At 39.2% G+C, this 14,687-nt stretch overlaps 1 protein-coding gene across 52 annotated transcripts in view, besides 2 other annotated features; it reads right to left on the reverse strand.

The window, feature by feature from the left end:
* The window catches only part of SYNRG (synergin gamma), a 94,612-nt gene that overhangs the window by 61,154 nt on the left and 18,771 nt on the right, over window positions 1-14,687 (reverse strand). For 25 of the 52 annotated variants that reach the window (XM_017024081.3, XM_047435226.1, XM_047435238.1 and 22 more), the window contains exons 4-9: window positions 10,459-10,589; window positions 9,365-9,470; window positions 8,688-8,799; window positions 3,172-3,474; window positions 1,420-1,653; window positions 381-458 (exon numbers count right to left, since the gene is read on the reverse strand). In XM_017024081.3, coding sequence (XP_016879570.1) covers window positions 381-458; window positions 1,420-1,653; window positions 3,172-3,474; window positions 8,688-8,799; window positions 9,365-9,470; window positions 10,459-10,589 — 964 coding nt within the window. The remainder of the gene's footprint in view (window positions 1-380; window positions 459-1,419; window positions 1,654-3,171; window positions 3,475-8,687; window positions 8,800-9,364; window positions 9,471-10,458; window positions 10,590-14,687) is intronic. The other 27 variants (XM_017024101.2, XM_047435243.1, XM_047435245.1 and 24 more) reach the window with 3 other exon arrangements.
* Window positions 13,142-13,643: an enhancer, noted in NCBI's record as "H3K4me1 hESC enhancer chr17:35949209-35949710 (GRCh37/hg19 assembly coordinates)". NCBI's record gives its function as "activates a minimal SCP1, AML or CMV promoter by ChIP-STARR-seq in naive H9 embryonic stem cells {active_cell/tissue: H9 hESC(naive)}" and the evidence as "EXISTENCE:reporter gene assay evidence [ECO:0000049][PMID:30033119]".
* Window positions 13,644-14,143: an enhancer, noted in NCBI's record as "H3K4me1 hESC enhancer chr17:35949711-35950210 (GRCh37/hg19 assembly coordinates)". NCBI's record gives its function as "activates a minimal SCP1, AML or CMV promoter by ChIP-STARR-seq in naive H9 embryonic stem cells {active_cell/tissue: H9 hESC(naive)}" and the evidence as "EXISTENCE:reporter gene assay evidence [ECO:0000049][PMID:30033119]".

The raw sequence follows: 14,687 nt of genomic DNA on the forward strand, positions 1-14,687 counted from the left end.
TTTAAAAATATAAACTAAGAATTCAGAAAATTACATTAAATATTTTGGTAAAATTCTTGATGTTATTAATTGCTGAAGTAAATATTTGATAATGTCCATTAAAGCATAATAAATCTAAGAGAGCTTTTAGAAATAAAAGTATGATGGTTGATAAAACATTAAAACAAAACTATTCTCCTCTATTTATATAGTTATTCCATATATGAGGCAGTCTTATGAAACACGACATTTATTTAATTTCTGTACTCTTTCAGAAAAAAAGAAAAGTGACAACTCCTCCTGCATTTTTTGTAAGTGCAACAGTAAATATTTACAACTACATTTACAATATTTAAACCAAAATATCCAGATGGGAATCCTGGGTAAAGAAGCTTTTTTACCTGGAACCAAACTCTCATTGTAAATCCAAGGAGGCATTCTGGGCTGAGCAGGATCCTGTGAGGGAAATACTCCCACACCTAGAAGGTAAGAAACATTAATGTATATAGTGGTCCATGGAGAAGATGGCGAAATCACACTGAGTCATGGTTTTTTACAAAGAGCACTGGCTGGAGACACTAAAAAAAGTCACCAATACAATTAAAATACTTGGTCCCCCCTGCCTCCGATTCAGAATAAAATATTTGGTTTTTAAGCAACTCTTGTACGTTAACTATGTTCTAAAGAGTAAATTATACAAAAACTAAAATGTATCAAATCAATACTCTAAATCATATAAGCCTTGCACCATTTAACATGTATTACAAATTAAGGAAAAAAACATGATAGATGATAGTTTAAAATTATGTATCTAAAAATATTTAATTGTCCAAGCTTTACTTGCAGTTTTTACTAATGCTTCTTTGCAAAGTTTCATTGTTTTTTAACCTACATATGATACTGCTGTCTTAAATATATAGGACTTTTGGGGGCTTTCTGTCCAATAAAATATCCTCCCAAAAGTTTGCCTCCTTGGCTGCCCACATTCTAATTCATTTCTGAGGGTTGAATTTATACAATTTAGATCTTTTAGGCAGTGGTGCATATGATTTATTTTAGAGAAACCAAAACTATATTCTCATTGGTGACTTTTCCAGTTACATTTTAACTTTTCAACCTTTATGGAAGAACAGAAAGTATAAGGGGGGAAAAAAGAGAGTTTTTATAAAATAAAAGGAAAGAAAATTTTAAATCAGAAATGATTCCAATTAAGAAAACCAGTTATCAAAATCATTTTTAAAAAGGAGTAACAGTGTGTTGAAAGAATTCAGAGCAAAATCTTAGGGGTTAATTGGAGAAAGGAATGCATTAAATATATTTCAAGCAAAATTTCGATTAGCAAAATCAAGCAGCATTCATTTGAAGATTAATGCTTAAGGTGTTAGCATTTGAGCAACATTTGGTTAAACAAGTTTTTTGCTGAATGCTTCACGAGCTCACCACTCTCTTCAATTGACAGGTTTTGATCTGAAGTATTTTCTGCCTCTGCAGTGGTGGTACCACTTACACATCCATCTACAGCAACCCCGTTACTGGCCATTAAACTGGGATACTTCTTACTGGAACCTGGGCCTAGGGCTTTGTGGCCAACTTCAGAAGTATTTAATTTAATTTGTTCCTGCCCAGATGTACTTATATCACAAGATACTAGGAACTTCTCCTCCAAGGAAGGGCCTAAACAAAGAGCATGAAGGATTATTTGTATATAACTGTATATGTCTAATCTTTTTAACCATCCATCTCCACCCCCATATTCTTTTTTTTTTTTTTTTTTTTTGAGATGGAATCTCACTCTGTCACCCAGGCTGTAGTGTACTGGCATGATCTCAGCTCACTGCAACCTCTGCCTCCCAGGTTCAAGCAATTCTCCTGCCTCAGCCTCCTTAGTAGCTGAGATTATAGGCGCCCGCCACCAAGCCTGGCTAATTTTTTGTATTTTTAGTAGAGACGGGGTTTCGCCATGTTAGACAGGCTGGTCTCGAACTCCTGACCTGAGGTGATCTACCCACCTCAGCCTCCCAAAGTGCTGGGATTACAGAAGTGAGCCACGGTGCCCAGCTCACCCCCATATTCTAAAGGGAGGCCCTGCCACGTATAATGTAAACATTGTGGCCAGGCACCATGGCTCAAGCCTGTAATCCCAGCACTTTGGGAGGCCAAGGCAGGCAGACCATGAGGTCAGGAGTTCAAGACCAGCCTGACCCACATAATGAAACCCCATCTCTACTAAAAATACAAAAAATTAGCCAGGCGTGGTGGCGGGCACCTGTAATTTCAGCTACTTGGGAGGCTGAGGCAGGAGAATCACTTGAACCCAGGAGGCGGAGGTTGCAGTGAGCTGAAATCACGCCACTGCACTCCAGCCTGGATGACAGTGCAAGACTCTGTCTCAAAAAAAAAAAAAAGTAAACGTTGAAATAATTCAATCACTGCACATTTGTATAGGACTTGAGAGACTTCAGAGATTTTAGAGAATGTAAACATAATTATCTACTGTGATTCTAAAGAATTCTATGAGACAGTAGGTGGAAGAGTGTAGTGGAAGGAGCACTACCTTTGAAATCTGACAACCTACATAAGATAACACTTCCACTAACTCCTAGGGAGGCCTCTGGCCAGTAACATCATCATCATCTCTTGGTCTGTTTCCATGTCCATCAAATGAGACAGTCTGGACTAAGTACATGTCTGCCAAGATCCCTCCCAGCACCCTGTCTCAAGCCAGGATGTGTAGCTGTCTCTATTCATTTTATAGATGACAAAATCTAAGGCACACCAAGGACAAATTGACAGTAAATGGACAACCTGGGCTTCTGCCCCCAAGTGCCCTGTCACTGAAGCTGAAAGAGTACTTTCTAAAGAAGCCTTTCCTAGCTCCTTATTCTTAAGAAAATGATATCGGTGAATCTCCCAAACAACAATCTTCTGGAAAAATCAGAAGATTTCTTTTAAAGTTATAAGGCAGTTTAAAGTGCTCCTAGTTGAGGAGCAAAAGTTTTAAATCACCTTTCTGGAATGTCAAGACCCCAGAACTTAAAAATCTAGACACTTGTTTTGTTGAATTTCAACAGCAGTCATACATTTATGTGCATGTTTATTTGCCAACATCACTGGATTATTCTACTTATATAACAGAAATAAGTTATCCCAGGATATCTTAAGAATATTTTCATTAATAATGCTAAGAGTTACCTGCTTCTGGTACACTGTGTGAGGCTGAAGCAGTAGAGAAGTAAGGAATTTGCCCAGGGACGCCATGTAAGGCAAAAGGCACTGGACTCTGACTTGGAGGGAGAGGCTGTGTCCCAGCCTTCTGTGTATGCAACTGGCCAAGTGGGGTGGAGGGGTGGAAAGACTGAAAGGGCTGGGACGTGGAAGAAGGCCCACATGGGGGAACTTCAACAGGCCCCTGCATAAAGTCACTGAATTCTTCTTCATCAAGAAAGGCAGGTGATGGGGAGACAGTTTTAGTAGAATGAGATGATGTGGGGCAATCTGCAAAATGGAAAATGGCAATGAAACACACAAAAATGGAAACCAACAGAGAAAAAGGAATTAAGATGTAGTACAATTCCAAAAGAATATATTGAAACATAAATAGTGGAGGTGAACAAGAAATAACAAGTAACAATAGTCAAATGGAATTGCATGATGCATGTAAAACACTTTGATGTCTATTTATACACAATTTTATGTCTTTTTAAAGGGGAGTTTTAATAGCTATTTTGTATTTGGTTCAAAAAAGGTAAAACTAAAAATACATGTATCTATTCATTTATTTTAGAGACAGGATCTTGCTCTGTCACCTAGGCTACAGTGCTGTGGCATGCTCATAGCTCATGATCATAGCAGCCTGAAACTCGTGGGATCAAGCAATCCTTCAGCCTCAGCCTCCTGAGTAGCTAGGAATATAGGCACATGCCAGCATACCCAGCTAATTCTTCCTTTCTTTTTTTTTTTCATAGAGATGGTGTCTCACTATGTTGCCCAAGCTGGTCTCGAGCTCCTGGCCTTGACTGTCTTTCTTTTATTAGATTAATAATTTTTCCCCTGAGACCATTAATGATTTACATCAAAGTGATGATTATTTTTGCAGTTGAAATGATCTGTTTATCTAGATAATATTATCTCAAACCAATATACATCAGATATAAGAAAACCTACCAATATAGTGCTGAATACATTTTGGACAGATATATACCATGATGACTAAATTTCATTATTTATTAAGAAATTCAGTAAGAAATAATGCACAATACAAAGCTGTAATTTTTGAAATATCATGCCCGATCCACACACTTGCATAGATCATATTTCAGTAAAGTTACCATATGAGAAATAAAAATTACAAAAGAACTTTTTTTTTTTTTTTTGAGATGGAATCTTGCTGTGATGCCCAGGCTAGAGTGCAATGGCATGAGCTCAGCTCACTGAAACCTCTGCTTTGTTCCCCCGGTTCAAGAGATTTTTCTGCCTCAGCCTCTCAAGTAGCTGGGACTACAGGTATGCACCGCCATGCCCAGTTAATCTTTGTATTTCGTGTGTGTGTGTGTGTGTGTGTGTGTGTGTGTGAGAGAGAGAGAGAGAGAGAGAGAGACGGAGTCTTGCTCTGTCGCCCAGACTGTTGCTCTGTCGCCCAGACTTGAGTGCAGTGGCGCGATCTCGGCTCACTGCAACCTCCACCTCCTGGGTTCAAGTGATTCTTCTGCCTCAAACTCCCAAGTAGCTGGGGCTACAGGTGCGTGCCACCACACCCAGCTAACTTTTGTATTTTTAGTAGAGACGGGGTTTCACCATTTTGGCCAGGCTGGTCTTGAACTCCTGACCTCATGATCTACCTGCCTTGGCCTCCCAAAGTGCTGGGATTACAGGTGTGAGTCCCCACGCCCAGCCCAATTTTTGTATTTTTAGTAGAGACGGGGGTTTCTCCATATCGGCCAGGCTGGTCTTGAACTCCTAACCTCAGGTGATCCACCCACCTTGGCCTCCCAAAGCACTGGGATTACAGGCATGAGCCACCATGCCTGGCCAAGACAAGAACATTAAACACATTATTAAGGTGATATTTTCTTGTGAAAAGCATCAATATTAGGATATCATGAAGAGCTGAATCAAACAACTATAGTCAATTTAAGAAAGTAAACCCTGCCTGAAGACTACAACTACCTTTAAAAGATCTTTGGCACTAAAGGATATAAATGTCACTGTGGCTTTTTATTGTTAAATGTAAAATTCACTTATGTAATAAACCTGCTCTACTGGGGCTACATTTAACATGAAGCTCATTAACAATACTATTTTATTGTTGCTTCTTCACATTTATTATTATTATTACTATTATTATTATTATTATTATGATACTGGGTCTCCCTCTGTCATCCAGGCTAGAGAACAGTGGCACAATCTCAGCTCACCGCAACCTCTGCCTCCCAGGTTCAAGTGATTCTCGTGCCTCAGCCTCGCAAGTAGCTGGGACTACAGGTGCCCATCACCACGCCCGGCTAATTTTTGTATTTTTAGTAGAGATGGGGTTTCACCATGTTGGCCAGGCTGGTCTCGAACTCCTGACTTCAGGTGATCTGCCTGCCTTGGTCTCCCAAAGTGTTGGGATTATAGGCGTGAGCCACCACGCCTTACCTTGTTTTGTTTTTGTTTTTGTTTTTTGGAGATGGAGTCTAGCTCTGTCGCCCAGGCTGGAGTGCAGTGGCACAATCTCAGCTCACTGCAACCTCTGCCTCCCAGGTTCAAGCAATTCTTCTGCCTCAGCCTCCTGAGTAGCTGGGAATACAGGTGTGCACCACCACTCCTGGCCCCACATTTTTTTTCTTTTTTTTTTTTTTTTTGAGACAGAGTCTGGCTCTGTCGCCCAGGCTGGAGTACAATGGCATGATCTCCGCTCACAGCAACCTCTGCCTCCTGGGTTCAAGAGATTCTCCTGCCTCAGCCTCCTGAATGGCTGGGATTACAGGCATGCGCCACCACACCTGGCTAATTTTTATTTTTAGTAGAGACAGGGTTTTGCCATGTTGGTCAGGCTGGTCTTGAACTCCCGACCTCAGGTGATCCACCCACCTCGGCCTCCCAAAGTGCTGGGATTATAGGCTTGAGCAACCGCACCTGGCCTCCCCACATTTTAAATTACTTTGAATTGCTTTAATATGACTAAAGTCTATTGTCACAATAAGCAGTCTTTTTTTTTGTCACTGACTTGAAGCTCAGGAGTAGTCTTTTTTTTAAGAAATGGCTCTTGTCTGAAAAATGGAGACCCTGCATACTTCTTTCCTCTCTTTAGGATCAATGCAATAAAACCTGGATGCACTGAAAGTTCTAAGAAAGATGCAAAATATGCAAAATTATTGCCTTAATCAAGTTTGTTTAAAAAAGAAAAAGCCCTCCCACATTGTATTCCAAGTCTCCCAACAATTACCAAGGCTGGATTTAGGTTCTCAATTTGGGTTCCCAGCTACTTAAAATATTTTTTAAATGGACCCTATTTCCTTGGGATATACTGTAAAGACCAAACCAATGTTTCTTTGCATTTGGCTGGAATGTGTGACTTCTACATGGAATATATTTTGGCCCATACCAACTCTAGCAGCTAGGTATATGATTAAAAAGAAGTATAAAAGTTAAATGATGGGCCAGGCACAGTTGCTCACACCTGTAATCCTAGCACTTTGGAAGGCTAAAGCAGGTGGACTGCTTGAGCCCAGGAGTTTGAGACTAGCCAGGGCAACATGGTGAAATCCCGTCTCTACAAAAAATACAAAAATTAGCTAGGCGTGGTGGTGCGCATCTGTAGTCCCGGTTACTCACGAGGTTGAAGTGGTAGGATTGTCTGAGCCTGGGGGGTCATGGCTGCAGTGAACTGTGATCATGTCACCGCACTAGGGCAATAGAATGAGACCCTGTCTCAAAAAAAAAGTTATATGATCAATATAGTTTGTATATTCAGTATTTTAAGATAAACAATCTATAAAGAGAAATTTAAAAGGTGCCTTTGGTGGTAGAATGGCTGGAAACTCTTTTTATAAATACTTTAGGACTAGGTTTTTGGTTTTTTTTTTTTGAGATGGAGTCTCACTCTGTCGTCCAGGCTGGAGTGCAGTGGCGCAGTCTCGACTCACTGCAGCCTCTATCTCCCAGGTTCAAGCTATTCTCTTGCCTCAGCCTACCAAGTGACTGAGATTATAGGGACGTGCCACCATGCCTGGCTAATTTTTTGTATTTTTAGTAGAGATGGGGTTTCACCATGTTGGCCACGCTGGTCTTGAACTCCTGACTGCCTTTCTCTACTTTTCCTAACCTCCAGCCTAGGTCTAGTTTTAGTATTAACTTCTAATATATATTCCTAAATTACTTCTTGACTAGCTTATTCACCTTATAATTTTCATTTTTAGATATGTTTTTCCTTTCTAATCTCAGCCTGATTGCTAATATCTGTTTTCTTTTCAATCTTGTATATTTTATTTTGGGGCATACTTTTGGAATGGGAATCTTAAGTGAAATTAACAGAACAGAGTCAAAGTTGTCCCGGAAAAATCAAGAACTGGTTACTATGCCAGTGATTATTCCCTCTTGATATCACCCATGAAAGGTACTATAATACAAGGGTTCAAGATAAAATTTATCAATGCAACATTTTCCAGCAGAAGATAGTACTTTCTTGGCTGGCTAAATGATTTATGAAAACTGTTCACCTATTAGGTATGTTTTCTTGGAATCAGCTGATAAAATGTCAAAACGTTGAATTTGTTTTTTGTTGTTTTTTGAGATGGAGTCTTGCTCTGATGCCTAAGCTGGAGCGGGCAGTGGCATGATCTCGGCTCACTGTAACCTCCGCCTCCCAGGTTCAAGTGATTCTCCTGCCTCAGCTTCCCGAGTAGCTGGGAATACAGGCATGCACAACCATGCCCAGCTTATTTTTGTATTTTTAGTAGAGACAGGTTTTCACCATGTTGGCCAGGCTGGTCTTGAACTCCTGACCTCAAGTGATCCCACCTGCCTCGGCCTCCCAAAGTGCTGGGATTACAGGCATGAGCCATGGCACCTGGCTTGAAATGTTGAATTTTTAAAAATAATGTGGTAACAATTATGCAAATACAAGACTCATTTCAACTGCTAAATGTTCAAAAGAACAACCAAACCCCAACCTCCAATCCCTTTACCCTGCTCTAAAACAGGGACGTTTCTTTTTGCTTACCTGACAATAAATGATGATAAAAATTACAAAGAAATGCATTAGGGAAACTAACATTTCAAGAAGAGCATTATTATACTCATGATTTTCTTAAATGAGGCATTTTAAGAATTTGTAAGTTTAATCACATTAAGTAATGAAATCAGAGCTAGTTCATAAAAATTACTATAAAACAATGAGAATTAAATGGTAAACTCCTTTATTACATTTGCTCTGAGTGAATAGATTTTACTAATGTTAACATATTTATATACAGAAAACTTACAGGTGAAATTGTCATACTGATATTTAATTAGAAGACAAAGAGGTTTTTTCCTCCCAAGACAGTTGTTATCCAGACCAGAGCTCTTAAGCCACTGTATATTTGAGAACATCCAAATCTGTACTTAGCTTGAAGGAAGAGTTCTACATTGACTTTTCACACACACATATAATGGCGAGGTAAAGAAACAGGGACTACATAAATCACCTTCCCAGAAAAGAAAAATATAATGCCTCTTAAAACTACCTGGTTTCTTGGGGTGCGATGCTGGAGTAGGGTGCATTTTTGCATCTCTGGAAAACCCATCTAAATTTCCTTTTATGGCTTCCAAAGCATCATCTCTACTCTTCTCTCCTGTCTAAGAGACAACAAATATATGCGTATTTCTTTACTTATCCCTCACTGTATCCTAAACCCTCCCAAATTAAGAAAAGCACAGATATTCATCTATTTCCAATATTTTTACCACATACTTCTGATAATGAATTATCCAAGTCAGCAAGACATTGGTAAATGATTAAACAATGACACTCCACAGAAAATAAAAACATTACAAGGCCAATGTATAAATACTTTAGGATAGACCTGTTTGATATTAAGTGTCCTGTGAAGGCTCTAAGAGAAATATGAAATATCACTGAATTCAGGATTACTGCTTCCCAAGAAAAAGATTATAAACATTGCCATGATACTAAAAAAGAGCTGAAAAGATAATGGCTGATAGCCTATTCTCATTGACAGCAGTGTATCTTTACAGAAAATGAAAAACCCTTCACATTAGTAATTAGGTAAACCAAAATGAGAAGAATCAATCACAGCCTCAGCTTGGGCTGGTGCCCCAGTGACGAAATCCACTCAATGAGTGGGAAGAGGCACATTCAGGGTGTGTATGTTCTGGGTGAAGAGAAGTATTGAAATACTACCTTGGGTTTCACACTGCTCAAAAGTCTGAGCTTTTGCTTCTGCTCTTCAAACTGGCGTCTTTTTCTTTCTTCTTCTAAGAGTTTTTGCTGCTGTTCAAATCGTTTCCTGAAGGAAAAATGATCTAATAAAGAACCAGCTCCCGGGATTATACACTGTGTTTTATATTCAGATTTCTAACAGTTTCAGCAATATCATGTTGCACTTCCAGAAGTGTAAATTTCATTGCTAAATATCTAGTTTTCTTACGACAATCCTGTTTCCTCACTATATTAATTCCAAAATATTTGACATGAGTCTAAAGAATGATTTACCTAAATTATGTATATGAATTTATTTCTCATCTAATTTGCAAGAGGAGGAAACAAGCTTTTGCATATAAAAGTATTCTCGAAAAACAGGCAGACAAACATAAGAACACACTTTGCTCTGCATATTAAAAAAGAACCTGCTTGGGAAGGCAGTGTCATACAGCAGAAAGAGTAATGATTTGGGAATCAGGAAGCCTGCCTTTGGGTCCAGGCTTTGCTGGTAACTGTGTAACCTGGACTGACAAGTTGTTTCATTTTCCTGGACTTCACTTTCACTAGATATAAAACAAGAGGGTTGAATTACAGGATCTCTAAGGTCCTTTTTGACTCTAAACTTATAATAATGGTAGTTTAAAGAGGCTTTTTTGTTTTTGTTTTTAAACAGGGTCTCACTCTGTTACCGAAGCTGGAGTACCGTGGCATGATCACGGCTGACTGCAGCCTCAACCTCGGGGCCCAGGTGATCCTCCCACCTCAGCCTCCTGAGCAGCTGGGACTACAAGCATGAGCCACCAAGCCTGGCTAATATTTTGTATTTTTTGTAGAGACAGGGTTTTACCATGTTGCTCAGGCTGGTCTCGAACTCCTGGGCTCAAGCAATCTGCCCACCCCAGCCTTCCAAAGTGCTGGGATTATAGGCATGAACCACTGGGCCAGGCCTTAAGAGTTTTAAAGACAACTTTTGACTGTTTTAGTTTCAAATCTGCACTAGAGATCATTAGACAATTCTTAAGATAGATGCTATAATGTATCTTTGTTATCCTTTAATTCTGGTGATCTCTTACTGCTGCTCTTCGGCAAACTGCTTCTGCATGTCTGGAGTGTACTGTGGGCCTGGAGGACGCATGCCCAGGAAGGGTGCTTGTCCTAGGTAAGGCATTCCCGCTGCTGGCATTGGTCCCATTGGTATTCCTGCCTAGAAGAAACAGACAAAGGCTTAAAAAACACAATTTATCCCTTTAATTATCACACACAAAAATGTGACTTCCATAAATTCTATCTTAATACTCTTATTTGTAAAAAATAGAAATATATTGGATTAAAAGATGCAAAGATGCAAATAAATAAAAGATGCAAATATACAAAGAAATATATTATATTAAAAGATGCTAAAAATGGAAGGCTCCCCTTAATATCTAACCCCTCCATTCCCTTCACTGTCCCAGAGGTGACCACTGTTAATACTCTGATTGGTGTGTTATGGAACTATATGCCCACAAGTTATATTCTTGTGAGCTCACTAATCCTCTTTGAGAAGAGGCATTATATCTTATATATTTTCATATTTGCAATAATAGGTAAGAGCCTGGCATATGGTAAACATACCACAAATGAAATTAAATCTGATTTTCCAATATATATGAGAGGATAATGAATATTTTGATGTTATCAAAGGCCTAATAGTCAAACTTTTATAGAAAATGACACATATTCAATAAAAAATTACATAATATTATAAAGTTTGTTAAAGTGTCCAGAAATAATAATAACACAATAGCTAATCACAAAATTTAATAATATTATGTTTTTAGAGACAGGGTCTCGTTGTGTCACCCAGGCTGGAGAGCAAAGGCGCAATCACAACTCACTGCAGCCTCCAACTCTTGGGCTCAAGAGATCCTCCCGCCTCAGCCCCAGAGTAGCTAGGGCTATAAGCGTGTGCCCTCGATGGCACCTGGCTCAAAATCTAATATTAAGAATGATGACAATGACAATAATTAAATGGCTAATTTTTAATGAGTGAAAACTCTTCTACTACTCAACCTTCTCCCTGAAAAGTTCCTCTTCTGTCCCTAACTAAAGTCTGTCCGTGAAACACTCTCATTTGGAGACTGCTACTTCTCTTCTATATTTCCTGTAAGTGGGGAATATTCCTCCTTGCTTCTTCTAAACCTTTTCTCTTCTCTCTACCTTCAAAAACCTGAATACATTTTAATTTCTCACTAACAGACTTCATCATCTACTATCCGATCTTGTTCATGTCATCTACTGACCCTCAACTTCCTCACTCTTCAGTTGAACACTTCAGACATTGCTGTCTTCCATTCTACCCCCAAACTGCTCTTGGTAACGTCAACAATCACCCACATGGGTAACTCACCTAACACTGTGTGGTCTTCCAGGTCTTTAGCCTCCTCATCACAATCATGCCCAACATACAATTCCAGCTTCCCATTCCATGGTAATACCCATGATCTATCTGCACCAAAGACTGTGTCATGTCCAAAATCTGGATGTTAGGCATCCCGACACTTGACCACCACCTCCTATCCTTCTAGCTCATCTAGATCAGTAATTCTCCTATCTCATTAATATCTCCCACCTGTTAATTTATTTTTTTTCCGTGAGCTTATTTTGTAGGTTCCACCTGTTAATTTTGCCACTTTTCTCATGATTAATCATCTTCATTATATCCTCACTTCCCTTCTTGCTCAACTTAGATTCTAGGGTTCCATATTAAATGCCCTTGTAAATATCCTTAATTCCCTTAATTGTCAATTCCTTAACATGGTCTCCTGGGAAACTTCACCCCTGATTAGAATCAACTAATCGACTTCTCTATGCTTATACAAAAACCACTGAACCATGCTGGAGAGAAAAACATTGAGGATTCACTTTAAATTCTTTTTTTTTTTTTTTTTTTTTTGAGACAGGATCTCACTCTGTCACCAAAGTTGGGATGCAGTAGGGCAATCTCAGCTCACTGCAACCTCCACCTCCCGGGCTAAAGTGATTCTCCCACCTCAGCCTCCCAAGTAGCTGAGACTACAGGCATGTGCCACCACACCCAACTAATTTTTGTATTTTCAGTAGAGATGGGGTTTCACCAGGTTGGCTAGGCTGGTCTCGAATTCCTGACCTCAAGTGATCCACCCACCTTGGCCTCCCAAAGTGCTGGGATTACAGGCATGAGCCACCACGCCCAGCCAGCTTGGAATGCCTTTGGAGGGTTTCTAGCACTGTACAACTGGAGTTACACACAATATTGGTTTATTGCTAACATTCTCTATTCTAAATCTTGGGTGGAGATAGCTGTGTATACTTATTTTAAATCATAGTATTGATCTCTTGCTGCTAAAAATTAGTATCACAGTCCTAGAATTATTCTTTTTTTTTTTTTTACTCATTTCACCCAAAGTATATAAAATACAAAAGAAACTACCCAAATCATAGAGATTAAAAATAAGGCAAAGTATTCTACAAAAATAATAAAGAATGAAAGAAAGAAAGGTGTTATGCATATTGCCTTCTTATTTACAAACTCCTTTCTTGAGGAACATTCAAATTTACTAAATGGCATTTTGTGTTTCCCCTACACCTGGAAAGGAGGGACTGTCTAACTTTTAACAGACTTTTGAAACCTAAATAAACTAAAAGGTTAAGAGATACTAGTCTTTAATTATATACTGAATGGATGACATAACAAAAGAAAGAACTCAGAAATCTGAGATACATTTGATAAACTACTGATGGCACTTAAGATTTCAATAAGTTGAGAAGTATAGTATGACAGTTAAGACTAAAAGAGTAAAAGTGTCCACTTCAGTCAGAGCCCCAACAGTGTTTTGACAAGTTGATCTTAAAATTATACTGAAGGGCAAGGACCACGAATCAGCTATAATTCTGTAAAAGAAGAAGGATGATCCATACTACCAGGTATCAATGCTTATTTCAGGCTAGATAATTAAGGCATAAGATATTTACTGATGCAAGGAAAGACAGATACAGCAATGGGACAAATACATGAGCTCAGAAATTAATCCAAAGCATATAAAGAAATGTGATATTACAGGAATAATCATAGAAATCAATAAATTAAAAATGGGCTATTTAGGGCCGGGCGCGGTGGCTCACGCCTGTAATTCCAGCACTTTGGGAGGCCGAGGTGGGCGGATCACCAGGTCAGGAGATCAAGACCATCCTGGCTAACACGATGAAATCCCATCTCTACTAAAATACAAAAAATTAGCCGGGCGTGGTGGCGGGCGCCTGTAGTCCCATCTATTCGGGAGGCTGAGGCAGGAGAACGGTGTGAACCCGGGAGGCAGAGCATGCAGTGAGCCAAGATCGCGTCACCACACTCCAGCCTGGGCGACAGCAAGACTCTGACTCAAAAAGGAAAAAAAAAAAGGCTATTTATAAATGATTTGGGAACAACTGACTACAATGGAACATAATAAAATTACATCCTTCTACCACACACTGATTCTAAAGAACAATTCTAGGTAGGTTAGAGACTTAATTTGAAAAGACAGGCCGGGCGCATTGGCTCACACATGTAATCCCAGCACTTTGGGAGGCTGAGGCAGGCAGATCACTTGAGGCCAGGAGTTCCAGATCAGCCTGGACAACATGGTAAAATCCCATCTCTACTAAAAATACAAAAATTAGCCAGGCATGATGGGGCATGCCTGTAGTCCCAGCTTCTCTGGAGGCTAAGGCAGGTGAATTACTTGAGCCCGGGAGGCGGCAGCTGCAGTGAGCTGAGATTGCGCCACATTCCAGCCTGGGCGACAGGGCGAGACTCTGTCTCAAAAAAAAAAAAAAGAAAAGAAAAGAAAAGAAACTTAACTTTTTTTAAATAAGAAGATACAGGTAGGGAAGAATGTCTTAGATAAGTCAGAAAAAAAAAGAAATGATTTATCCATCTGTCTTAATTTTGACACAACATGACACTATAAACAAAATTAAGAGATGCCAACAACTAGCAGAAGATACTGGCAACACATGTAACTACAAAGGATTAGAATCTAGAATATATAATGAACACTCAGAAATCAATTAAATCAAAACAGCAAAACATTAGAAGCAATTTAAATGTCTGTCAATAGAACAACATATATTCACTCTATGAAATACCACACAGCAGCTACTATGAATGAACTTGGCATAAATTAAAAAGTCAAGAATTTGAAGGGTACATACGTAAAATTTAAAACCTAGGAAATATGATATATTGCTCATGAGTATACAAATATATAAAATAATACAAGTATAAAAATATGGCCAGGCG

Source organism: Homo sapiens, chromosome 17 (genome assembly GCF_000001405.40).
Source record: "Homo sapiens chromosome 17, GRCh38.p14 Primary Assembly".
Lineage (NCBI taxonomy): Eukaryota > Metazoa > Chordata > Mammalia > Primates > Hominidae > Homo > Homo sapiens.